A 24,595-nucleotide genomic window follows, 5' to 3' on the forward strand; every position below is an offset into this window, starting at 1 on the left:
CGATAGCCCCCAAGATGGCCGCCAATGTGGGATCGATGTTTCAATATTGGAAGCGATTTGATCTACGGCGACTCCAGGTTAGTGCGGGCAGCGCCGGCCGCGCGGCCGTGAGGAGCCCCCGGGCGCGCCCTGGGCGCATTGGGGAGGTCCCCGGGCGGGCAGGCGGACGCCCTGGGGCGGCGGGCGGCGGCTGCCGGGGCTCGCCGGGGCTCGGCCGCCCGCTGCCCATCGATAGGTATTAGGAATTGATCTCGCCGCTGCTCTTTGTTCGGTTCAGTCATCGATTAGCTGCCGCGACCATGGAGAAGCGCTAGTGAGCCCTCGGTCGGCGGAGCGGCCGAGCGGCCAGGCGGCCGGGCGAGGAGCGGGGAAGGCAGGGGCTACGGCCTCGGGCAGGGGGCTGCTGGCGGGAACCCCCGGCGGTCCCCCCTGAGCCGCACTTTGCGCGCCTCCCAACTTCGCGGCGCCCGGGGAGGCCGCGGAGCGCGCCGCTTGCCAGTCCGCACCCGGCTGGGGCTCCGGCGAGGGAGGGAGGGAGCTGGCGGGCAGGGAGGAGGAGGAGGAGAGGAGGAGGAGGAGGAGAGAGGAGGAGGGAGCCGGGGTTGGCGAGGAGGCGGCTCCGCGCCCCGCCGCTCGCCGGCACCTCAGCCTTCGCCGCCCGCCTGGCTGCGCAGCCCGGACGCGCCGCCACCCGGGGGCCGCCGCCGCCGCCGCCAGAGCCGCCGCCGCCGGACTGGCCGCAAGCGCCGGCAGACCTCTTCTCCTCGGGCCGGGGTCTTGGGGTTCGTCTTGCTTCTTGCCTTTACCCCCCCGCCCCTTCCATCCCCTTCCCAAGTCTAGATGCAGACGGGCGGTGGAGGTGGGCCCGGGCGCTCGCAAGTTTGCGCTCCTGCCTCCAGGGCGGTGGAGAGCCGGGAGCGGCGCAGAGCAGGTGACTCCCAGCCCTCGGGCCCAAGGGAACTTTTAAATGAGAGATTTCCTTGCTTGTTCTGCCTCCTGCGTTTCTCCCCGCTGCTCCCCTCGTCTCCTCTCTCCCGTCTCTGCTTTTCTTCTGTTTCTTTCCTCTCTTCCCTGCTCTTTCTCTCTCCTTCCCTAGGGCGACTCTTCGAAACCCCATCACTTTCTCCCCATCCTCCCTTTGTGGGAGTCTGTGTGCCTCCCCTAGATTTGGAGGTGTTCTCTGCGGACCCCGTAGGAGCCGGGGCTGGGAGGTGGAATCTCAGAGAACGCACCGTGGAGGCGCGGCTCCGGCCTCTGTTCTTTCCCGGAGTGCCCCGGACGCGCCTGGCAAGGCCCCCCAGCCTTGGAGTCTCGCAAAGTCTCGGCGGGTGCGGCGGGGATCAGGGGCGGGAAAATGGTGCGGATAACAGGGCGGTTAGAGCATCCTGCCTTGACCGTGACATTCGCGGAAGACGCGAGATCATCAGTCTGGAGATAAAAAGGGACCCACTTTTTTTTTTTTTTTTAATCCGCCGGCAAATCTCGTTAAGTTTCTTCTGATAAGTGGTTCCAGCACCCGCGCCTTCTCCCCGTCCTGGCCGCTTCCCAGTCCCCGTCCTTCCGAACGCCCCACTCCTCGCTCTCCCCCTCCCCCAAAGCCATTGAGCTGGGGAGAAAATCGGGGCACTGAGGCATGCAGTTAATAACTGCCGAGTGCCTTGCAATTCCGGGTCCGCACTCGAGTTGGGGCTACAGTTTGGTGGCCAACTGAGACGGGCAGGGCTGCGAGCTGTGCCTGCCGGCTTAAATGATGCTAAAGTGGCCTTTCTGGAAGAGTGGGGGTTATGGAGGCAGAGAGAGAGAGAGAGAGGGAGAATTGGGCAGCCACATTGGGCTTGGCACGAAGGCCAATGGTAATCGTATTCCCTGCTAATGTTTGTAAATGAGACCCGGGCACGGCTGGGGGACAGCGTCTTTATTTATGATTGATGTTCTGTAACATAAGGAATGACAAGAACGTGGCACACAAGAGGAGAGGAACCAGAAGGGCTGGCGAAAGCCCTTTGCAGGGTCCTATTGTTATTCTGGGCTGGAGAAAATTTCCGCGGCGAGATTTACAGCGCTGGTATTTGCTCCCGGTCGGCCGGAATGTCAGTTAACACAATTTTCATTAGATAACTCGTTTTCAATCCGGGGAGCTCGGGCTGCAGCCCGGGGAGAGGCAGGGGCTGGGTGCTGAGGGGAGGGTGCGGCTCCCAGGGGGCTAATGTCTGAACTAGGGAGGTTGGAACCTCACTGTCTTCAGTCTTCTACCCAAGGGGTCTTTTGTGGAACGGTTGAGGTCACCCAAATCTTGATTCCAGCTGGACGCCCATTAATCTGGGAACCCTTTGTTAGGGTTTTAGAAGATGCATAGATGGAAAGCAAATTTGAACTGGAAAGGATAAAGGTAGGGGGTGGTGGAGGGGTTTGTTCAGGTGATGGGGAGATAGGACCCAGACCTCCCAGCCTACAGGGTGTATATGTGAAGGGGGGGGTTGTTCGTTAAAACAATGGCTAGTGTGTCTGGCACACAGGAGAAGGCTCTCAGGGAAGGGGGGTAAACTCATTTACATCGATATTAAGTGGAGGGGGTGTCCCTGTGGGAGTTTGCAAGGCAGCACACTTCTAGAAAGCAAAGAAATAAACGTGGCAGCCGTGGCCGCGTGCAAACATTTTGGCCCTCCATCTGCCGCGTTCCCCACCCCCAGCCTGAAATCTTCAGCTGGTCCCCTGGCCAACAGGCCCGCAGCCCCCCACCCCCACCCCACCCCATATCCTCACTGATGGCATTTTTGTTGGAAGTGGATTAGGAGCCTAAGCACTTTGGCCTGGGATCCTCTCTTGTACATAATGCCAGTGACTCCTACGACACACTTTTATTTTCATTTTTTGCCCCTCCCCTACTTTCCTCTTATAGGGGAGATAGCCAGAAAGGAGAACTTCTGCCGGCTTTTTCTGAGATCCAGGTAGGAGAGGCAGGTCCCCGTGCCCAGCCCCAGGCAGCCGGAGAGCCGGGGTCCCGCGTCCCGAGGCTGAGCTGCCTGTGATGTGAGGAGGTGCGTGGCTTTCATTCCTGGCTGTTCAGGTTGAATGGTTTCTCGCAGCGTGGTTGCTGAGCATTAAAGTGGCCGAGGCAACATGGGCGGCCCCGTGTCCCCAGGCCATACCACGTCGCTGACGCCATACCGATCCTGGCAAGAAAGGTGACCTTGTACCAGCCCGGTGTCCAGCCCTCCGGAAACGTATATTTTTCAAAAATGGAAGCGTTCCAGTTATTATTCCTTCCAGCGCCGTCTCTGTACACAGCAGGGCTGTTTTCCTAGGCTGGAAGTCAGTCAACAACCTTAATGACTTTGGGCCGATGGTAAAGGTGATCTGACATGTGCCACCCTACTCCGGCACTCCTGAAACTACCTCCCCCCGTCTTTGCTTCTTTTTTGCCTTTGCTGCTAGCAGCTCAGGAAACGAGAAGAAATAAAATTCCATCCAAAGATAATGCTAGGCATATTTCATTTGGTTATAAGATTGCTTTATGGTGAACATTACTAATGCAGTATTTTTTTATGGCTTTTCTGTGTATAATCGTCGTAACCGGATTCATACCTTTATGATTTTCTTTTTCTGCTTAACTTTCTACTTTTTTTTTTTACCATGCTCTGGGTCCAGTCTCCCATGCTGTCTTCCCTGACTCCAAAGAGGGTTAATTGAGCTAACAATGAGCTGGGGGGCACCCAGTCCAAATGAGGGTCCTCGGTCCAAATGCCCATCTGTGTTTCTGGGGAGAAAGGAGCTTGGTCAATAGGATTACATAGTACTAATCTGGGAGGAAGGGGCAAATTCTGCTTCGGGTGTCAGCAGTTGGGAGAAAGATCAACAGGATGAGCAAAGAGAGGCCGGACTTTTCCAAGGAGTTTGGAGAAACTTCCGGGAACACTCAATCTCCTGGCGCAGGAGAGCAAGATGGTGCTTGATGGAATATTTTCCCCTGCTCAAAGTTTAGAAAAGAGCAGGGATGTGATTAAAATATTATAACCTTATGATATTCTGAAGTGCATAAATTTTACATATCAGCCACAGAGAGTTTAGACATCCATTAGAGCCTCTGACAGCTTGACTTATCTAAATGTGCTATCATTTAACAATGTGTCAAAATTCCTCTTTCTATAGATGACAGCAGTAAATAAGCTATCAGCCCTGTTGGCGGAATCCTAACTTTGGAAACTTCACCATAATAGAATTGCTGCCGAGGTCCAATTGCAGCCGAGGTGGGGAGCGTGAGCCCGCAGAGCTTGGCATGGCTCAGCCCCCTGAGAGGGGTTGGCATTAGGTGAAGACAGCTCTGAGAATAAGACAAACCCTTGGACTCTCTTCTAACTCCAGCCAGTGGGTGACCCCATTCCCTCTGCCTCTCCAAGTCCGTAGAACCCACACCCTGTGGCCCTTTTCTGCAGAAAGAGCTAGAAACAGGTGTTGAGAATTTATTTAAAGAACCCAGCAGCCTTTTCTGGGTCTCCCAAAATTGTAGTTTCTCAACTTGACAGAGATTGCTTCTCAAAAACGGGCTCTCTCTTTGAATGCTAGAAGAAAAAACAAGCAACATCTCATCCCTCACTGGTTTTACTGTTGGGGGTCTTGAAATTTCTTTTATTAATACTTGAATTCACTGTAGAAAATGGAGAAACCACGGACCAGCTAAAAGAAGCAAATAAGTGTCTCGGTGGGTTATTTCAGATGAGCACGGTGCTATTTTGACCAGAGGGAACAGCTTTTCTGATGGTGGTGGTGGTTTTTCTTTCTTTTACTTTTTTCCTTATTTTTTTTTTTAAACTCTCCTGTTAAAAAGAGGATTCTATCTTCGAACTTGACATTCTGTCATGGTAACCTTTCTTCCGGCAGATGGGATTTCAAACGTGAGCACCTTGGCTAGTGCTAAATATATGGTCCTGGATGATGGTAGACAAGGCTGCCCAGAAACTGTGGTTTTCTGTGCTGCTTCTGAAAGGGCTGAATTTCCGGTGGCTTCCTGGCTATCTAATTCAAAGGCCGGGCCTGGCAGAGGTGAAGCATTGGAAGGGGACTCAGGTGGTGACCTGCCTTTGTTCCTGGCCTTGGGATTCAGGGTCCCATCTTCTGTTTGATATTTTTCCTCTGGGGGTGCTCATTATTTATGATGGTGTCATATACTGGAGGGTGTCAGGGATGGTAGAGGTTGGCAGGGGGGAAGGACCCCAAGAACTGTATTCTGTGTGGCCTTTAGTGCTCCTGGGTGAATCATCCCACATCCCAAGTCTCCTGCTTCTTAACCCTTGAAGTCAGCTGGCTGTGCCCAACTTTGCTGTACGAGTTATTGTAAAGGTGAAGGATGCTGACACCTTTGTGGGTCACTTAAATGCATTGTCTTCTTCTTTTTTGTTTTTTCAAGATGGAGTCTCGCTCTGCCACCCAGGCTGGAGTGCAGTGGTGCAATCTCAGCTCACTGCAACCTCCGCCTCCCGGGTTCACGTGATTCCCAAGTAGTTGGAACTATAGGCGCATGCCACCACGCCTGGCTAATTTTTGTATTTTTAGTAGAGACGGGGTTTTGCAGTGTTGACCAGGCTGGTCTTGAAGTCCTGACCTCAAATGATCCACCAGCCTCGGCCTCTTAAAGTGCTGGGATTACAAGTGTGATGACCTTGGGCCCCTCCCCTTCTTTCTCCATCATGGTCGTGGTGGTGGGGCTATTGACCTTTTAAGCAATATTTTTGAAACAAAAAATTATGTCTAGGATGGAGTTATTTGGTTTCTAAGCCTCAGTGAGCCCTTCACCAAAATGGCTTGTAGTGTTTTGGAGGATGTAGACATTATATTCCTATCATGGCCCAGGCGAGGTGGCTCATGCCTATAATCCCAGCACTTTGGCAGGCTGAGGTGGGAGGATTGCTTGAGGCCAGGAGTTTGAGACCAGCCTGGGCAACATAGTGATACCCCTTCTCTACAAAAAATAAAAAAATTAGCTGGACATGGTGGCACCTGCCTGCAGTCCCAGATACTCAGGAGGCTGAGGTGGGAGGATTGCTTGAGCCCAGGAGGTGGAGGCTGCACTGAGCTATGATCATACCATTGCACTCCAGCCTGAGCAACTGAGCAAGACCCTGTTTAAAAAAAAAAAACGGAAAAAAATATACTCCTATCATGTTTAGATTAAAATTCAAATTTTTTTTCCCTGACAGATCCCCCAGGATCTGCCCCATTCTCTCAATCTCTCTGGCTCCCTCTCCAACCACTGTACCGCAGCGGCCTTCTCTTTGTCCCACAAACACATCAAGCATGTCCCCACCTCAGGGCCTTTGCATGTATGCTTTCCTCTGCCTGCGACCCTTTCCCTCCCATCTCTCTGTGGTTGGCTCCTTCATCTCTTTCATTCTGAGCCCAAATGTCGTGACCACTCAGCCTAAAGAAAACTAAAGAAGCTTCCACCACTGTTTCCCCACTGTAATATGCAGATGTGCTCCCATATTGCTAAGGACACCCCAGAGGGTTTTGACCATAGAACCCTCTCAGGGTATGGTCTCTCTCTACACATGCTAGGTTTACCATCAGATGGGGCCAACCTTTTTCTATAGAGTTGGATAATAATACACTGGGCTTCGTGGACCATAAGCCTCCACTCTGCCATTAGCATGAAACAGCCACAATGAGAATGAATGGACGTGGCTGTGTTCCAATAAAACTTTATTTATACAAACAGGCAGGGGGCCGGTTTTGGCCTGAGAGCTGTAGTTTGCCTGCCCTGGGTCTACTGGTCTATGTCATGGCTGTCATATATAGGCTGTGGCATGGCTGAAATTTTAACTTTTCAGTTAAGAGTATTAAAGTGGATCAAACTCAGTTCCCAAAACTTGTTCTTGACCCTTTCCCTCCAGAGAGAAGCATGAAGAGTCAGAGCAGTGAGAGGCCCCTGCCTGGCTTCAAATCCTGGCTCCATCACCTACTAGCTGTGTGACCTTGGATGAGTCACTTAACCTCTCCAAGCCTTACTTTCTTTGTCTTTAAATGGGACTAATAATAGTCTCCGCCTTCTAGGTTGTTCAGGAAGATCAAACCACTTTGAACATGAAAGTGTTTAGCACAGTGTGGGGCACACAGTTGCTGCCCTGTGAATCTGAGTGACTTCCTATTGTCATTGGTATTTTTAGAGTATGAGAGGAGAAAACCAAATAAACAGCAGCGGCTGGAACTTGCTGGCCTTGCAGGCTGTTTTAGAGATTTCTGAGCAAGTTTTCTCTTCTCTCTTACTCCTTTGGGGTTACTATATTAGTATTGTACTAATATTATATGTAGTATATTTTGGGAGTTCTGACCACAGAAATTGCAGACGGGGAGCTATGTCTGGCCCATGGATGTGTCTGTCTAGATTAGTGAGATATTTAAAAACACTTTTGTGTAAGTTGTCAGCATTTAAAACACAAGAGATTTACCTAAGAAATCTAGGTGACCAGTGTCCCCTGAAAATCAGGAGCTCTGGCCACTGTGGGCAGGTCCAATGGAGAAGGGGAGTGGAGACCTGGGAGGGACATTTCCAGGCAGAGGGAACACCCAGTGCCAGGGCCCTGTGCCAGGGGTCCTCAGTGGGTCAGGCCAGCTGTCGGAGTCCTGAGGAGGGTCTTCTCTGTAGTTCAAGGCCACAGGCCGCACCTTCCCAGTGCCTAGTTCCAGAAGAGGCTGCATTTCCAGAACAAATGAAAGGCTCCTGACCAATGCATGAAGATACCCGGTTAGTAGGGTTCAGAGCCTGCTGTCTCTGCTTCTTCCCAGGAGCCCACACCCCCAAAAGTGGGCCTGTGGCTGTCCCCCGAAACCCCTCCGGAGCACACCCCAGCCTCTGCCAGTCTTCAGTTCAGCCCAATGAAACAGCAGTTCCAGGATATGCATTTGCCATTAAAAACAAAGAAAGAAAGAAAGAAATCAATCCTTCGGCCTCTTTGGCCTGAGCTGGTCGTCTGCCCAGAGACGCTGGGGGGCCCAACGGTGCTTAAGACTCTGTGAGCCGCCGTCGCTCAAGCTGGACGGGGTAAATGGCTCCCGGGGAACCATTATGGTCGATTGACTTGCCCAGCCGCCGGTGTGGACTGTGGGTGTTGCGGATCCGGAGACCACAGGGGTCACAGGGGCCGCCAGTCCAGGGCAGATTTCCCTGAGTGGGGCCATCACTCCTAGGCCTTGCTGCTACAGATGCCTGTGAGTGTCTGTCATCTGCTACGAGTGTCTATGGGTGCGGGTGTCCCAGGGGATGTGGTGTGAGCTGCGGAATCAAGCCCTACACCCTCCACCCCCAAAGACTACCTGGACTCTGGAGCCAGCAGGCCTCGGTTCAAATCCCAGCTCTGCCACTTACCAGCTGTGTGACCTTGGATGAGTCAATTAACCTTTCTGAGCCTCACTTTTCTCATATATAAAATGGGGATAATAGTAGTAGCCACCTCCTTAAGAATTGTTGTGAGGACTTTTATTATTATTTTTTTGAGACGAGGTCTCAGTCTGTCACCCAGGCTGGAGTGCAACGGTGCCATCAGGGCTCACTGCAGCCTCAACCTTCTAGGCTCAGATGATCCTCCCATCTCAGCCTCCCAAGTAGCTGGGATTATAGGTGCACCGCCACCACGCCTGGCTTTTTTTTTTTTTTTTAACGTAGAAGTGGAGGTCTCACCATGCTACCCAGGCTAGTCTCGAACTCCTAAGCTCAAGTGATTCTCCCAACTCAACCTCTCAAAGTGCTGGGATTACAGGTGTGAGCCACCGTGCCCAGCCTGTTTTGAGGATTAAGTGAGTTAATGCATATGAAGCGCTGAGATCCATGCCCAGCACATTGAAACATGATATAATGTTAAAGTGAATAATAATTGCTGTTATCCTTCACTCCAGAACTGTACATTCACCACTTACGGTATAAATAATTATATATAAAAAACAAATACAATAACTAATAATTACATATTAAAGATGATATAGTAAGCAAGGAAGGCAAGGTGCCAGCTCTCTCAGAGCCCACAGGCCATGGGACGAGTGGATGCACATGCCATTTCACAGACGGGCAAGGGGAGTAGATTCCGAGACAGTATATGGCAAAGGAATTGCCTGGGTCTGGACCTCAGGGGATGCTTCCTGGAAGAAATGACCCTTCTGTTGAGATCTCAAGGACAAGGTTAGGGAAAAGCATCTCAGAAGAGGGAACAGCATTTGCAGAGACCCCGAGAAGGGTGGAAGAATTGTGCCTCCAAGGAACTGAAGAAAGCAGTATGGCCGGGAGAAGATTCTGAGCAGGTTACTGGGCCTGTCTCATTCTCACTTTTGCCACCTGCCAATGAGGAGTAGGGATGGAGGATATAATACGACACTGCATGGTGGCCGGGTGCGGTGGCTCATGCCTGTAATCCCAGCACTTTGGGAGGATGAGGCGGGCAGATAATTTGAGGTCAGGCATTTGAGACCAGCCTGGCCAACATGGTGAAACCCCTTCCCTACTAAAAATACAAGAATTAGCCAGGCGCGGTGGCTCACGCCTGTAATCCCAGCACTCCGGGAGGTACCATTGCTATACCCATCTTCCAGATGAGAAGACTATGCCTCTGAAAGGGGAAATAAGTTGCCCAAGGACACATATCTAGGAAGAAAGAAGTAGAGCTAGGATTTGAATCCTAGTTGCCCTGTACATACTCACGAGACAGAAATGGTAGTAGGAGAAAGGGCATTCCATGAGAATGCATCTTGCCCATCTTCGACTTCAGGGAGCGTGATAGGACCCGTGCTGCGCTGGAAATCCATCCCATAGCTGGCCCAGCCAGGGGCAGAGTGCAGCAGAAATTCTGGCACAGACTCGTACCTGGGACACACGGGACCCCTCTGCTAACTCCATGGTAGTCTAGGAGCTTCCGTCAACCAAACAACCTTCCTCCTGTCCTTCTGTCCTCTCTCCTTCACACTGGCTCCCTCCGGCAGGTGCAGGTGTTGACCCTTACAAATCTCTTTGCCATATGACCCTGCCTTCAAGTCTGTTTCTTGTCCCACAGGAAAGAAGAAATGGGATTGGGACATCTGCATAAGGCTCTCAGGGTGTAGGAGACGCTCCGTTGAGGTCGCTGTCATGTCTTGGGGGAGGCTGGGGAGCTGTCACTCCCAGCACTGTCTCTTTCCTGGTTGCCTGTCCTTACTTGCCCTCAGGTTTTAGGATCCCCTCATCCTATCCCCCTCCCGTCCCCTGTCATTCTCCCCCTCTTTATTCAAGCCCCTGTGGCCTCCTTGCTGTGCCTCAAACAAGCCAAGCAGGTCCCAGCTTCAGGGTTTTGGCACTTACTGTTCCCTCTCTCTGAGACAATTTCCAAACACCTCCCTTCAGTTAGTTTGGTCCTTTGCTTGAATACCACCTCCTCAGAGAAGTCCTCCTTGACTTCTCTTTCCAAATCAGCTCCCCTCTCCTCACTCTGCCTCACCTGATGTGATAATATTTATTTGTGTATTTATTTGTTCATTTGTTTACTGTCTGCCTCCCTCTCTGGGGAGGGCAGGGACATAGTAAGTGCTCAATAAATATTTGATTGATGGGTGGCTGAATCCACAGGAGGGATGAGGTAGGGGGCAGTTGCCCCTCGACTTCACCTTGAGGGGCAGTCTTGGGGGACCCTTGGCTGCTACACCCCTCACTGGCTCTTGAAAGTTGCTGGGAATTGGGCACCGGCCTCAGGCCTGTGGCGAATGAGGGTTTGTTTACCTTTAGCTCCATCAGTCTCGCCTTAGGGTGACCTCAGTTCCAACCTGGGAGGCAGCTCCCATCTAATTAGTATATCTATTTATTAATTGCTGGAAGGCTGCAGGCCATAAGCGATGATTTGGTGGCCTCAGCCATAGAGAGCTGAAAGCATCCCTACAGCCTGTGAGATGGCTGTCATCCAGGACACAAGACAGCCAGTTAATGTCCTCGGACCCGGCTGACATTCCTGACACTGATTCCCAGGCCCACTGGATCATCCCAGCAGGCATGAGAAAGCGGCCTGGGTCTCTGGACAGTGATCCCAGGGTTGAAGGGCTTTCTTTCCCACCATGCGCAGGGACCCCTCGTTTATAATCGGGGGGAGACCCATCTTTCCTTCTTTGGCTGGGCCCCAGTTTTTCTATCTAGAATGGAGCATCCCTGGTTTGTTGAGACAGGTCATTTATTCATTTGATGAGCATTATTCAGCCCCAGCTATGTGTCCCAAGCTGCCTGAGGTGTTGGGAGTGTAGCACAGAACAAAACAGACCAAGTCCTGCCCTCATAAAGCTTCTACTTCATAATCATTTGGAGGTAGAACTACTTTTCTTCAAGGATCGTGAGAAGTAGAAAGTGACAGCTCCATATAGACACTTGGCCTAGGGCTGGGCATGTTGTGAGCCTTTCCTAATGGTGATTATTATTGCTATTTATTATCTTTATTAGCAATTGTTATTATTATCTTTCTTAAAATGGGAGGGCATTTCCTGTTGAATTTCAGTTGCCTTGGGAGCTGCACCTGCAATGATGGGCGCTGGGCTCGGAGCAGTCAGATCTTGCTTCAGACCCCGGTCTTGCCACTTCCTCACTGAGAGGCTTTCGGCAACTCCCCAGTTTTGTAAGCCTCAGCTTCCTCATCTGTAAAATGGGACTGAAACACAGCCCCTACCTCATAGGGACATTGAGAATATTTGATTTGATGCAGAGCCCATAACACACACTTGGGACACCATCATTCCCCAGTAAACAGGAGTGACTAGTATTACCTTTATTATTATTGCCATCGTTGTTTGTCATTCACCTCCAGGCCCTCACTGCTCAGCTCAGTGGTGCCCAAATCTGGGTGGAGCCTAGAGATTCGTTTGCAGTATTAGCTGCTCAGGTATCAGATGAGAGAAGCTCACCTGAACTCCAGCCAGGTGCAGGAACCCCCACCACACCCTGTAAGGACAGGAATCTAACCTGGGTCTTCCTCCCAGCCCGGCCCACCCGGAGCCAGCAGCCAGCAGCCAGGTGCGCTGGCTCTTTGCAGAGAAGCTTGGGACAGGAGGTCAGGCCTCCCTGCATGCCGCTTGGCAGGGCTTAGCAAGGCTGGGCCTGGCTTTGTGGTTCAGAAGACAGCTTGCGGAGAGACCAGTGCAGGCCTGGGATTTCTTTAACAAATGGCGCCTGCACTCTTACTGCCATGCAAGCCAGTGTTCACAGCCCTTTGTATTGTCTTATTTTTAATTCCCACAGCAACTTTATGAAGGGAAAACGATGACCATTCCCATTTTACAGATGAACAGAGTGAGGCACAGAAGGCTCAGTCCCTGGCTACATTGCCAGGAAGCGGCCCAGCCTGGACTTGAACCCAAGACCCAGGGCTGTTGGCCACCCGTGTTCCTGCTCTGGACTCACTAATGGCCAAAGCTGCCCCTCCCAGGACTGATGGCTGTCTCACGCCACTGCCGAGGTCCCCCCATCTACAATCACTATGTCAGTATTTTTCTCTTTATGCTTTATTTTTATTTATTTTTTTTTGAGACAGAGTCTGGCTCTGTCGCCCAGGCTGGAGTGCAGTGGCGCAATCTCGGCTTACTGCAACCTCTGCCTCCCAGGTTCAAGCAATTCGCCTGCCTCAGCCTCCTAAGTAGCTGGGATTACAAGCGTGTGCCACTACGCCTGGCTGATTTTTGTATTTTCAGTAGAGACGGGGTTTCACCACGTCGGCCAGGCTGGTCTTGAATTCGTGACCTCATGTGATCTGCCTGCCTCGGCCTCCCACAGTGCTGGGATTGCAGGCGTGAGCCACCACGCCCGGCCCCTTGCTGTTCTTTTTAAAAACCTCTGAAGATACCTTGCCACTGTCAACTCATGGAAATGGATTTGGGCCCCAAAGCCTGAGAAGCATGGGTCAGGGGAAGGTGAGAGAAAGCTCCCGGTTCCCAGCGTGTCTCCCAGCCTGGAGAATGAGCACCACCCGGCCATCCATCCCCGGCCCCCGCTGGGTCCCGGAGCCGCGTGGCGCGCCCTGTCGTCCGGCCTGCATTCCGCGAGATGGAATTCTCGGCTGGGGCTGATAATAAGCAGGTATTGATTGCTGCCGTGGTCATTATCAAGATTTATTTAGTCAATATGGCCTCCCCGGTCAATAAATCGTGTCGTTGATAAAGAAGGAAGGAGATAGACTTGTAGCCTTTATTAAAAAAGTTTTTTAGATTTTTTTTTTAAAGCCAAGTCCAGCCCTCCTTTCTGTGGCTGTACCAGCCACACTCTACAGTTCGCGTTTTTACCTTATAAGCTCTTTCTTTCCATGGCAGACCTTATACTCATTGCTCTGACTCCAAGAAGCAAGGACTTGGGGCTGGGGCTAGGGCTGGAGAATGGTCCCTGACCTTTGTTCTTTCATTGAATCCTCCCAGCATCCCTTGGGGCAGGCTCTGGTGTCACCCTATTTTGCAGCTGAGGCTACTGAGGCCCAGGGAGGTTCATTTACTAGCCCAAGGTCACACAAGACTCGAACCCAGACAGTCTGGCCAGAGTCTTTGCTCTGAATCTGACATTCATCCATCAAATAGCAGGTATTTCTTGAGCACGTGCTATAGGCCCCGCACAATGCCAGCTGCTGGGTGTGGAAGGGCAAGCTAAACAAATAAATGTGTAATGACAGAAATAGAAAGAATGGAGGAAAGAGCGCTGAAATCACATGGAGGGGCCGCCTGTTTATTTAGGGTGATGATGGAGGCCCACACTGGGTAGGTGACATTTAGGCTGAGACCTGAACCATGAAGAGGAGCTGTGCAGGCACAGTTCAGGCAGGGGAGCTCACAGCTCCAGGAGGAGCCTGTGCAAAGGCCCTGAGGTGGGACTCAGCTTGTAAAGTCCTGGAACCAAAGGGAGGCCAGTGAGGCTAGAGAGGGGAGAAGAGGGGAGGGAGAGAAGTCACAGGGGGAGGTGGTTACTGCTCACGCAGGCCCTTTTAGACCACGGTAGTGGCTGGATTCCTTTGAATTCTATTATCATGGAAGTGGGAAGATACTGAGGGTCTAAAACGGGAGAAACGAGATCCAATTTATGTTTGGCTCCCGCTGGGTTCAGCCTGATAGGAAACATTGAAGGGAGGGAGGGGACGTTTGGAAAATAGGCAAAGGACAGCATCTGTGATGAACTGGATGTTGTCATCTCTGCCCAGAGAGGAGTTCTTCGTGGCAGGAAGCCTTTGGGCACGCAAACGTTTCGAGGACTAGCACTCTACAGCATTGTGGGAGTGGAGAGATTGCCATGGGAACATGCCTGGTACCCCCAGCAAGGTGGGAGCTGTGCTTCCTTGGTAAGCGTATGGCTGGTTTTCTGTGTGAGTGGCCAGCTGGTGTGGATTTGTAGGCTTTTAGCGGCAGGCATGCAGTGGGCAAGGGGCGCCTTCTCTCCTGGACATAGAGCTGGTGCAAGGAGGGTCATGGGGGATTGGGTTATGTTCTGAGAAGGGCCCTTTGCCCAGTGGTCTCTGTGGGCATTATTACCAGTGTGTTTCCAGGTGCCACTTGTTAGGAAAGGCCATAAAAAGATGAGGTGACTAAGACGGCGTGGCTGTAGAGCCCGGGCCACATGCAGGTATTCTGTCCCAGGGGGTCGTGTGCTGACTTTCATATATGGGGATGCTGTTAGGTGTAAGAGAGGTTGAATGTCTACCTGGGGGACTGCAGGGGATGTGGGCTGGAGTATGGAATAAAGAGAACTTTTTCACCTTTTAGTTTTGTCTAATCTATGAGCACCTGTGGACTGGAAGTAGCAGGGGTTGGGGGATCACCTCTTTATCATCCATCATCCACTCATCCACCACCCACCCAACATTGTCTTATCTACTCATTCATAAATCTGCTCTCTCATCCACTGTATCCATCCACCTAACACTTTATCCAGCTGTACTTCCCCATTTCTTACTGATCTTAACTATCCATCCATCTGTCCACTCATCCATCCATCCCATGAATCCATCCATCTATCCATCCATGAATCCTTCCATCCATCCATTCATGAATTCATCCATCCATCCATCCATCCATGAATTCATCCATCCACGAATTCATCCATCCATCCATCCACCCATCCACGAATTCCTCCACCCATCCACCCACCCATTCATCTATCCATTCATCCACTTAGCCACCCAGCAACCTTCTCATCCACCCATCCACATATTTGTGCATCCAACAAAAATCCCTTCCTCCATGCATGCATCCATCCAACATCTACTCAGCCAACACTAGGAATGTAAAGATGAAAAGAAAGCAGTCCCTGTTCTTAAGAATGCTTTAGATTGGTGGAGGAGTCAACTGTAGTGAAATAACCCCAAAATGACATAATTAGCACAGTAATCAGAGGCTGTACACAGAGCTGTGGGGAACAAGAGGGGAGACAAACACTGGCCCTGCAGGCCTGTGAGGTTGGTGAGGGCTGCTGGAGAGGGTTCTAGACTTGAGACGTGTAGTTCTCCCCTCCTTCCCCATCTGGATTCAGTGATGTTCTCTAGCCTAGGTAGAGGGTGGGTGGTCTCAGAAGGCAGCCTGCCTTCAAGGAGACACCACAGGAACCATGGTCACCAAACCCTGGATGGGCCCAGGAAGGACCAAGCTCTGTCCTGTAGCAGATTGGAGCCCAGCAAGGTCTTTTTGAGAGAGACTTTTTTGGGCAAGGGGGATGGTCTGTGACCAAGGAGGTGGACAAGGCAGATCATCAGGTCTGCCACTAGGACAGGGGCTCCCTGGTTTTACTGTTCAGTGCAGATTAGCAGCCCCTAACCTCTGCATGGTGCTTGGAGCCTGTCAGAAATGGTTCCACCCACCTATGCTGTTGGACCACCTCCCATTCTGCAGAGGAGGAAACTGAGGCAAAAGGGTATATGAAGGAAGGCAGGGCAGAGAAACCCTTCACCTACATCCTCCTCTCCTGCTCAGCCACATTTATAGAGCATCTGGCTCACACTGTATCTCCATTTCTGTATCTCCCACCCACCCTGCCGCTTCCCCCACAGAGCCCCCTCTTGGCCCTCCTGATACTACATTCTCTTCATTTTCCTCCTACCTCTTGCCGCCACTTCCCTGTTTCTTTTCAGACCCATCCTCCTCTGGCTGGCCTCTAATTATGTTGGTCCTTTCAAGGTCCATCTCTTCTCACTCTGTGCCCTGACCCTGTGTGACCTCATCTGTATCCACAACATCACTGCCTCCCAGCTCTCCAGTCCCTGCCTCTGGGTGTCAAACCTCTCTGTACAATAGCCTTCTTGACATTTCTGTCTTTCTTTTTAAGCCACTTTATTTGACTTTTCTTGAATGTCTGTCTCAAAGATGTCTCCAGGTCAAGACGTTCAAAACCTAATTTTCTCTCCATTGTAGGGTCTTCATCTTAGGGATGGCTCCATCCGGGTCTACAGGACAGAAACCTGGGAGCTACCCTGATTACCTCCCTCTCCTGTATGCCCCCTATGTCCAGTTCATCACTAAATCCTGGGGATTTACCTCCTAGATACCTCCTGCATCCCATCTCCTACCTCCATCTCCACCATCGTCACTTGGACCCATGCCCCCATTGCCTCTCCCGCTGGACTTTGGTCTCCTAATTTCTTCCTTTGCTGACTCTGGCTTCTCCACTCTTTTGACCACAGCAGCAAGTGAGGTTATTAAAAACTTGTTAAGAATTTTTTAATAGAAGTTTAGGAAGAAGAATTTCTAGGGGACGATGAAGAGAGGTTGGTTAATGGGTACAAACATACAATTAGATAGAAGGAATACATTCTAATGTTTGATAGCAGAGCAGGGTGACTATAGTTAACAGCAGTGTATTGTGTATTTTAAAATTGCTAGAAGAGAGGACTTGGAATGTTTCCAGTACCTGGGTGATGGATATCCTAAATACCCTGACTTGGTCATTACACATTCTATGCATGTAACGAAATATTACATGTATCTCATAAATATATACAAATATTATGTATCAATTAAAAATGCATTTTGTTTTAAAAAGTACCATTTCCAATGGCCCTCCATTGCCTTTGAGGTGAAAGCCTCAATGTAACTAACCTTCCATGCTCAGCATGGACTGGTCACTGCCCTCTGTTCTTGGTTTATAGTGTCGTTCAAGTCTTCTATTTTCTTGTTGATTTTCTGTCTAGTTGTTCTTTGCACTGTTGAAAGTGGGGTGTTGAAGTCTCCAACTGTTGTTAAATTGTCTATTTCTCCATTTCTGTCAATTTTTGCTTCATATATTTTAGTGTTCTATTAGGTGCATATATACATTTATAATTGTTATCTCTTCCTGACAGATTGGCCCTTTTATTTAGCAAAGGTCCTTCTTTCCCTAGTAACTTTTTTTTTTTGTTTTGTTTTAGAGTCTATTTTGTCTGATATTGGTATAGTTACTCCCAGTTTCTTATGGTGGCTGTTTGCATTATATATCTTTTTGTATCCTTTAATTTTCCATCTGTTCATGCCTTTGAATCTAAAGCGTGTCTCCTATAGACAACATATAGTTGGATCATGTTTTTTATTCAGTCTGAAAAACTCTGCTCTTTGATTGGATTGTTTAATCCATTCATATTTAATGTTATTATTGCTATGGTAGAATTTATGTCTGCCATTTTGCTTTTTGTTTTCTATATCTTTTTGTTCCTCTATTTCTCTTTTACTACTTTCTTTTGCATTGAGTGAATATTCTCTAATGTAGCATTTTAATTAGTGAGGTTTTTTTTTTAACTATATTACTTGAGGATTTTCTTAGTGGTTTGTGCTAGGGTTTACCATATATATTGTAACTTATAGGAATCAAGTTCAGATTTATAGCAGTGTAATTTCAGCATGCCTTTCATTCTTTTTTAATGGACACATTATAATTGTACATGCGCCCTCTGTTCTTGATCCTGAGCCACATTCCCTATGCTCGCCATGTTCCAGTCACACGTGTCTTCTTTGTTTCCCCGGCACCATAGCCCCCATGGGTGACCTGCTCTCTCTGCCTGCGACACTCTTCCCATACTTCTTCCCATCAACTCCTCCCAGATCCTTGGAGCTTACTCAATATCACTTCCTTGGGGCAGCTGCCTGCTCCACCTTGTATGGCCCCATGAGGCTGTGCACCCCAACTTTACAGCACTTACCATAGCAGGTGTCAGACATAGCTCTGTGGGTTACTGATGAACACCGGCCTCCCTCTGTGGATTGTCATCACCATGAGGGTATAGAGCAGCTTGTCCCCAGAACTGAGCAGCAGAGGGCAGAGCACATAGTAGGCCCTCAAAAAAAAAAAAAATCAGTCAAATGAACAAACAGGGATGGATGTGAGTGTGATGTGAGTGTAATGTGAGTGTATTTGTATACTTACGTGTGTATGTCTGCATCTTTGTGGGTACATATCTTTGAGTGTGTTTGTGGGTCTTTTAATTTTTGTGTCTGTGTCCTTGTATGTGTATCTTAGTGTGTTTCTGTGTGTGTGTCTTTGTATCTGTGTTTTTCTGAGTATGTCTCTGAATGTGTGCCTGTGTATCTGCATCCACATGTGGGGATCTGTGTGTGTGTGTCAGTGCGTGTCTTTGTTTATTTGTGCACCTTAGTATGTCTGTGTATGTGTTTGTGTGCTCATGCTCCCAGGCAGAACTTCTTTCAACATCTCCTTGCCATGCAATTGTATTCTGTCTAGTTTGGTGTGGCATTTAATGACTTCCCCAAAGCTAAGCATGGCCACTGCAGAGTTGATCTCACTGTGATGGAGGTGACACGGGCATGTGGGGCCAGTGGCAGGCACTGCCTCCCCAGGATTGCCTGCTGTACCTGCTGAAGCTCCCCCACCCCCACCTTCATCCCTTTGAGGGGAAAACCCCAGACGGGTAGCTAGGTGCAGGGGCAAAGCAGGGTTATTGCCGAACAGACTGGCTCTGCTCTTGCCAGATACATGAGGCCGCCAGAGGACTGCTCAGTGCCTCAGTTTTCTCATCTGCAAAATGGGGATAGCAAAAATAATCCCCTCATAGCATCTCCACATGGAGGAAATGAGCGCCTGTACATGCAGGGCCCAGCACGGCGCCTGGCACATACCAGGGGCTCCAGAAATGTGATTTTGTTTCTCGTGCTTGCTCCCCGGTGGCTCTTGCCCCAGCAGTGGGAGAGTGATTTTCCACTAAGTCCCACTAATGACAAGAAACGCTCTTCCTTCAAGGGGGCCCTTTCCCAGTGTCATCTCTGGGGCCATCCAAGGGCTCTAGTGAAAGCAAAATCCTAACCCACTTAATGCTGAGATGTTCAGAGGCCTCCCATGGACACACAGCATTTCCCCAGCAGAGATGGGATTTAGCCCCAAGAGTATTCTATGAATCTGCCACGTACTTCCATAGTCTCCATCCTTAGCATTCTGTCTCACTATCTCCGCTTCTACATCCTCCATACTCCTCACACTTCCCAGCATTGCATTTTCTGTTTCCTCTGCCTGGAACACCATTCACATTGCTCTTCGTGGGCCCTGGCCCTCTTTCCCTGACTCTGCGCTGGGTTGGATGTCTTCTTTTAGGTCTCACTTGGACATCCCTGGCCTGGGCTGCTTTCCATGTTTCCAGATGATTCCCCAGTTCCTTGTTGGTCTCCCGTATCAGACGGTGAACTCATTACCATACATTAAAGCTACAGTACTTGGCATGGTGATTGGTAAACATTGAATGCCTGGTGGCCTGATCAGAGGTTACCTTTTAAAAACTCAGAGCTGGGCGCAGTGGCTCACGCCTGTAATCCTAACGCTTTGGGAGGCCACGGCGGGTGGATCATCTGAGGTCAGGAGTTCGAGACCAGCCTGGCCAATGTGGTGAAACCTGTCTCTACTAAAAATACAAAAATTAGCCAGGCATGGTGGCACACGCCTGTAATCCCAGCTACTCAGGAGGCTGAGGCAGGAGAATTGCTTGAACCCAGGAGGTGGAGGCTGCAATGAACCGAGATCGCGCCACTGCACTCCAGCCTGGGTGACAGAACAAGACTCCATCTCAAAACAAAAACAAAAACAAAAACAAAAAACAGATTCCTGGCTTTCTCTTCAGTGTGAGAGCTGGCGTCCCCGGGCCTGCATTTCACACAGGGCTGGGTTCTGGGGGTGTGGGTTTCCCATTTTGCAAAACCTCTGCTGAGCCCAGGCCTCCCTGTGCAGCTTTCAGTGTGGCCCTCATATAAGCGTGTGAGTTATAATAGCAACCTCACCCTAGGCATTAGCTGTGCCAACTTTGTGACTGGTGTGGAGGTGACTCTGCCTTCTCTGGCCTCAGTATAGCCATTCCAGATAATGGGCAGAATTTACATGACCTTTCAGCAATGAGAGCAGCTCAGAAGAGCTTTTTAAATTTTTTTAAATTTTATTTTTATTTATTTCTAGTTTAACAAGCACTTGCCAAGGGTGGCTTATGTGACTCTAAGTACTTTCTAAATACCATCATTTAGTGGTTTAATTCCCATCACAATTCTATGCTGTAGACATTCTTTTTTGAGATGGAGTCTCACTCTGTCACTGAGGCTGGAGTGCAGTGGTGTGATCTTGGCTCACGGCAGCCTCTGCCTCCCGGGTTCAAGAGATTCTCTCACATCAGCCTCCTGAGTAGCTAGGATTACAGGCGCACACCACCACGCCCGCCTAATTTTTGTATTTTTAGTAGAGACGAAGTTTCACCATGTTGGCCAGGCTGGTCTTGAACTCCTGACCTCAGGCGATCCACCTCCCTCAGCCTCCCAAAGTGCTGGGATTACAGGCATGAGCCACCACACCCGGCCCTAGACACTCTTAATATTCCCATTTTGCAGAGGAGGAAGCTGAGGCACAGAAAGGTTAAGTGACTTGTGCAAGGCCACACAGCAGAGCCAGGCAGTCTGACTCCACAGTCCATGTTCGTACGCTCTCCTGTCTCTTGTTATTTCTCTTTACTATGCAAAGCAGAGACTGTGTATCATTGGGACAGGGCTACTACATGTCCAGGTTCCCTCTTTTCTCCCCAGAAGCTGCTGTATGTGCAGATTGGCCTCATAAAGGTCTAATGTGATGATGGGTGGCTCTTGGTGGACCATGTTGTCTGGCAGGAGTCGGGGCCTGGGCCCAAATTACTGGGACAAGCATCAGGGATGTCAGAGTCCCAGAGGCCACCGTCAGAGCTGGTCACCATAGCAGCATACACTGGGGGACTAGGCCAATTTCCTGTCCTTCCTATCCTGGGGTAGCTGGACCCTGGGACCCTCGGGCCAGCAGCCTGGAAGTCGCAATGAGGCGGCCCCGGCCCTCGGAGGATATCCTCTTCAGCCTCTGCAAGCAAGGGGGTTGGTCCCACGGCCCTTGGCCTACTTTGTGAAATTCATCTCTGGAAAAAAATTATTCTCTGAGCAGAGCAGAGCATCTTGGCATATCACAGTGGGTGAGGCCTGCTGAGGCCGTCTGCCTCCCTGGAGGGGGCGAGGAGAGAAACCAAGGCCCAGCTCCTGCCTCCCGCCTGGCCCCCAAGGTGGGGCACCTGAGGAAGGCAGCCCCCCTTCCCCCAGCCCCCGGAGCTTGCCCGACTGCCCCAGCGGTCCCATCGGCGCACGTTTCCTGTCCCCTGCCCAGGATGGCACCCCTAGAAGGTTGGGGCTGGCCCAGCCTCCCTACAGGTAAGTAGGCTTGAGCCAGAGGATAATTTGTTTCTGTGGGATGTATTGATGAGCTGCCCTAATTAGGCACCTTGCTAATGAGAATCAAACCACTTCGCTGGGAGTCGGGCTGATCGCAGCCTAGCTCTGCCGTGAAGCAGCCATGGTCCTGAGCAGGCCACTTAGCTGCGTGGCTCTCAGTGTTATCTTCTGTAACATGGGGCTTCCTGCGTTCTTTCCCCTCCATAGCTAGATTGTTTGCTATGCCCCTGGAGACCTCGGGGGCTGTTGAGATCCGAGGCAAAAGGCGGAGGCCAATTGTGGCTTTCTTTGGGTGTTCTTGTCACTGGTGGACAGATCCATGGATGCGTTTCTCATGCCGGCCTCTTGGATGGATCTGTCAGGGAAGGAGGATGCTAGAGACGAGGACTGTTCTTAACATGTGTGACTGCATGTGTCTCTGTAAACGCAGCAGTCATTTGTTGCTGGGTAGCAAGCCACCCCAAACTTAGTGGACAGAAACAACTCTTGTATACCTGATTCTGTGGGCTGGAATTAGGACGGAGCCCAGTTGGTTCAGCTTGTCCCCACTCCATGATAGCTGTGGCTTCATCTGGGCAGATTCAACATTTGCGGGTAATTTGACAACTCCCACATCTGGCAATTGATGCTGGCTGTTGGCTGGAACCTCAGCTACCTGTGGGAACCCCAGTTTATGGCCTCTCTGCAGGGTCTCTCTGTGTGTTCTCCTTTGGGCTTCCTCACAGCATGGTGGCTGGGTTCCGAGAGGCAACATCCTGAGAGAGCCAGGTGGAAGTGCAGGTGTTTTCATGCTCTTGCCTTGCAAGTTGCTAGTATCACTTCCATCTACTCTGCTGATTGGGGCAGTAACAAAGGTGGGCCCAGGTTCAAAGGGAGGAGGACGTAGATCCCACCACTGGGTGGAAGGAGTGTCAAGGTCACCTTGCAGGAAGCCTTGGTGGCGAGGGATATTATGGCAGCCATCTTTAGAAAAGACAGTTGGCTACAGTGAGGGCGATGGTGGTGGTGATTCAGGTGACTCAGGCTGGTTGTGACAGGCTGTAAAGGGAGCCAGTGCGGCAGGAAGTGGCTGAGCAGGAGAGTAGATGTGACAGGAGGTTGTGTGAGGTGAGTTGGTGTGACAGGAAGTAGCCAAGTAGGGAGTGGGTGTGACAGGAGGATGTGTGGGGGACAGAGTGTAACAAGCGGTGGCCAAGCTGGAATGGTTGTGACAAGAGGTTGTGTGAGGGAATTCAGTGTGACAGGAGATTGTGTGGGGGAGTGTGACAGGAAGTGGCCAAGTAGGGAGTGAGTGTGACAGAAAATGGCCAAGCTGCAATGGTTGTGACGGGAGGTTGTGTGACGAGAGTGAGTATGACAGGAAATGGCCTGAGCTGCAGTGGGTGTGATAGGAAGTGGCCCAGTAGCAAGTAAGTGTGACAAGAAATTGTGTGGGGGAGTCAGTATGACAGGAAGTTACCAAGCTGGAGTGGATGTTACAGGAAGCTGTGTGAGGGCAATGGGTGTGGCAGGAGATTATGTGAGGGAAGTTAGTGGGACAGAGACGGCTATGTGAGTGGAGTGGAGTGGGTGTGACAGGAAGTGGCCACTGGAGATCTGGCTTTGTCTGCCATGATGGAAGTGGGCCTGCCAGTGACAGGGCCCTAGATGCTGACAGCACCACCTTTCCTTGCTTTCCAAGCTGCCCTCTTGAGGGCCTCAGGGTGACCAGGCCGATTCCAACGTGGGGACCCAGACCTCCTTACACGGGCCCCATCTTTCTCCCTGCCCTAGCCTCCACCATCTTCCTGTCTTCCTGTGGGCCCCTCGCTCCCCACTTCTGCCAGCAGCCTCCCCTTCTGCCAGAAAGAGTGACTCCCACCTCAACAGCCTGGAAGCACTCCAACTACCGTACTTTTCTTCAAATAAAAGCAGCTAATTAACATTATTCTTTAATTATTGCCTTTATCAACAAGGGGTCTGATTTCTACCAGCAGGATAGTTGCTTTCCCTTAAACTACCCAAGTGAATGCTTCAGTTCCTGGTGCTTTTGAAATGAATTTGATGTCATCTGCCCAGAGTCACTTAATGGGGACGCCTGGGTAATGACTGAACGCGCTAACTCCGTTAGCAGCCCTGGAAGCATGTAATTTGGCCCCTCAGGCAACAGCACTTTTGAAATCTCTGGATAGTTTTGAACTCTCTGTTCTTAATTAAATATGCAATTTTTCACGGTAACCAGGTTAATTCTTTTGTGTTGTGTTGTAATACTGTTAGGAATTTTCATAGTTCTTATTAAACATTATTCAGGCATTGTGAATTCCATAATTAAAAAAAATGAAAAGAACAAAGCTTGATTCACTCCTTTCTTTTCCCTGGCTAATTTATCAAATGAATTTTGCAAATTTTTCTTTCTGTCCCCAGACAGTGTGGCAAGTGTTTTAAAGGGGAAGGATTTAATTGCCCTGTAGGGATTGGCTGGTTATGAAGGATTTGGCTGTTTGATTAGTAAACCCAGTTGGGAATGGTCTAATGCTCCATGATCTTAAAAATTGTCTGATTGTACCCTCTCCAAGGAGGCCTCTCTCTTCGTTATGTAGAGCATCAACTTCACACAAGTGTGATTATTAGGTAGTGAGGAAAGGGAAGAGAGAAAGATCTGACTTTACTTTAAATTGGGGATCTTGGGAGATTTTTACCTCCATTTCCCTGGCTGGGGAGGAAGGGAGAACACTGAAGAGACACAGAGAGAGAGAGACAGAGAGAGAGAGAGAGAGACAGACAGACAGAGAGAGAGACAGAGAGGGAGCAATTCTCTCATCTCAGATACAGGAGAAGCTGGAGGGTGGCTGAAAGGGTGGGGCCCAAGGAGACGTTTTAGTGCACCCTTGCAGATAGTGGTGTTACAGGAAGGGGGTCCCGAGCGAGACCCCAAGATCTCACGCAAGAAAGAATTCAGGGAGAGACC

The 24,595-nt window shown here is 50.4% G+C and overlaps 1 protein-coding gene across 3 annotated transcripts in view, besides 2 other annotated features; it reads left to right on the forward strand.

Moving 5' to 3' along the window:
- CUX2 (cut like homeobox 2) overlaps positions 2 to 24,595 on the forward strand; it is a 316,390-nt gene continuing 291,796 nt past the window's right edge. For 2 of the 3 annotated variants that reach the window (XM_017019081.2, NM_015267.4), the window contains exon 1: positions 2 to 77. Coding sequence is in view for 1 of the 3 variants with exons in the window: in NM_015267.4 (NP_056082.2) it covers positions 15 to 77 (63 nt within the window). In the remaining 2 variants the exon portion in view is untranslated. Of the gene's footprint in view, positions 78 to 641; positions 783 to 24,595 lie in introns of those variants that run through there. The other variant, XM_011538069.3, reaches the window with a different exon arrangement.
- Positions 6,811 to 7,577: an enhancer, noted in NCBI's record as "NANOG-H3K4me1 hESC enhancer chr12:111478778-111479544 (GRCh37/hg19 assembly coordinates)". NCBI's record gives its function as "activates a minimal SCP1, AML or CMV promoter by ChIP-STARR-seq in naive H9 embryonic stem cells {active_cell/tissue: H9 hESC(naive)}" and the evidence as "EXISTENCE:reporter gene assay evidence [ECO:0000049][PMID:30033119]".
- Positions 23,430 to 24,285: an enhancer, noted in NCBI's record as "VISTA enhancer hs611". NCBI's record gives its function as "enhancer in: hindbrain (rhombencephalon)[8/8] | forebrain[8/8]" and the evidence as "EXISTENCE:transgenic organism evidence [ECO:0001131][PMID:17130149]".

This window comes from Homo sapiens, chromosome 12 (genome assembly GCF_000001405.40).
Source record: "Homo sapiens chromosome 12, GRCh38.p14 Primary Assembly".
NCBI classification, from domain to species: Eukaryota; Metazoa; Chordata; class Mammalia; order Primates; family Hominidae; genus Homo; species Homo sapiens.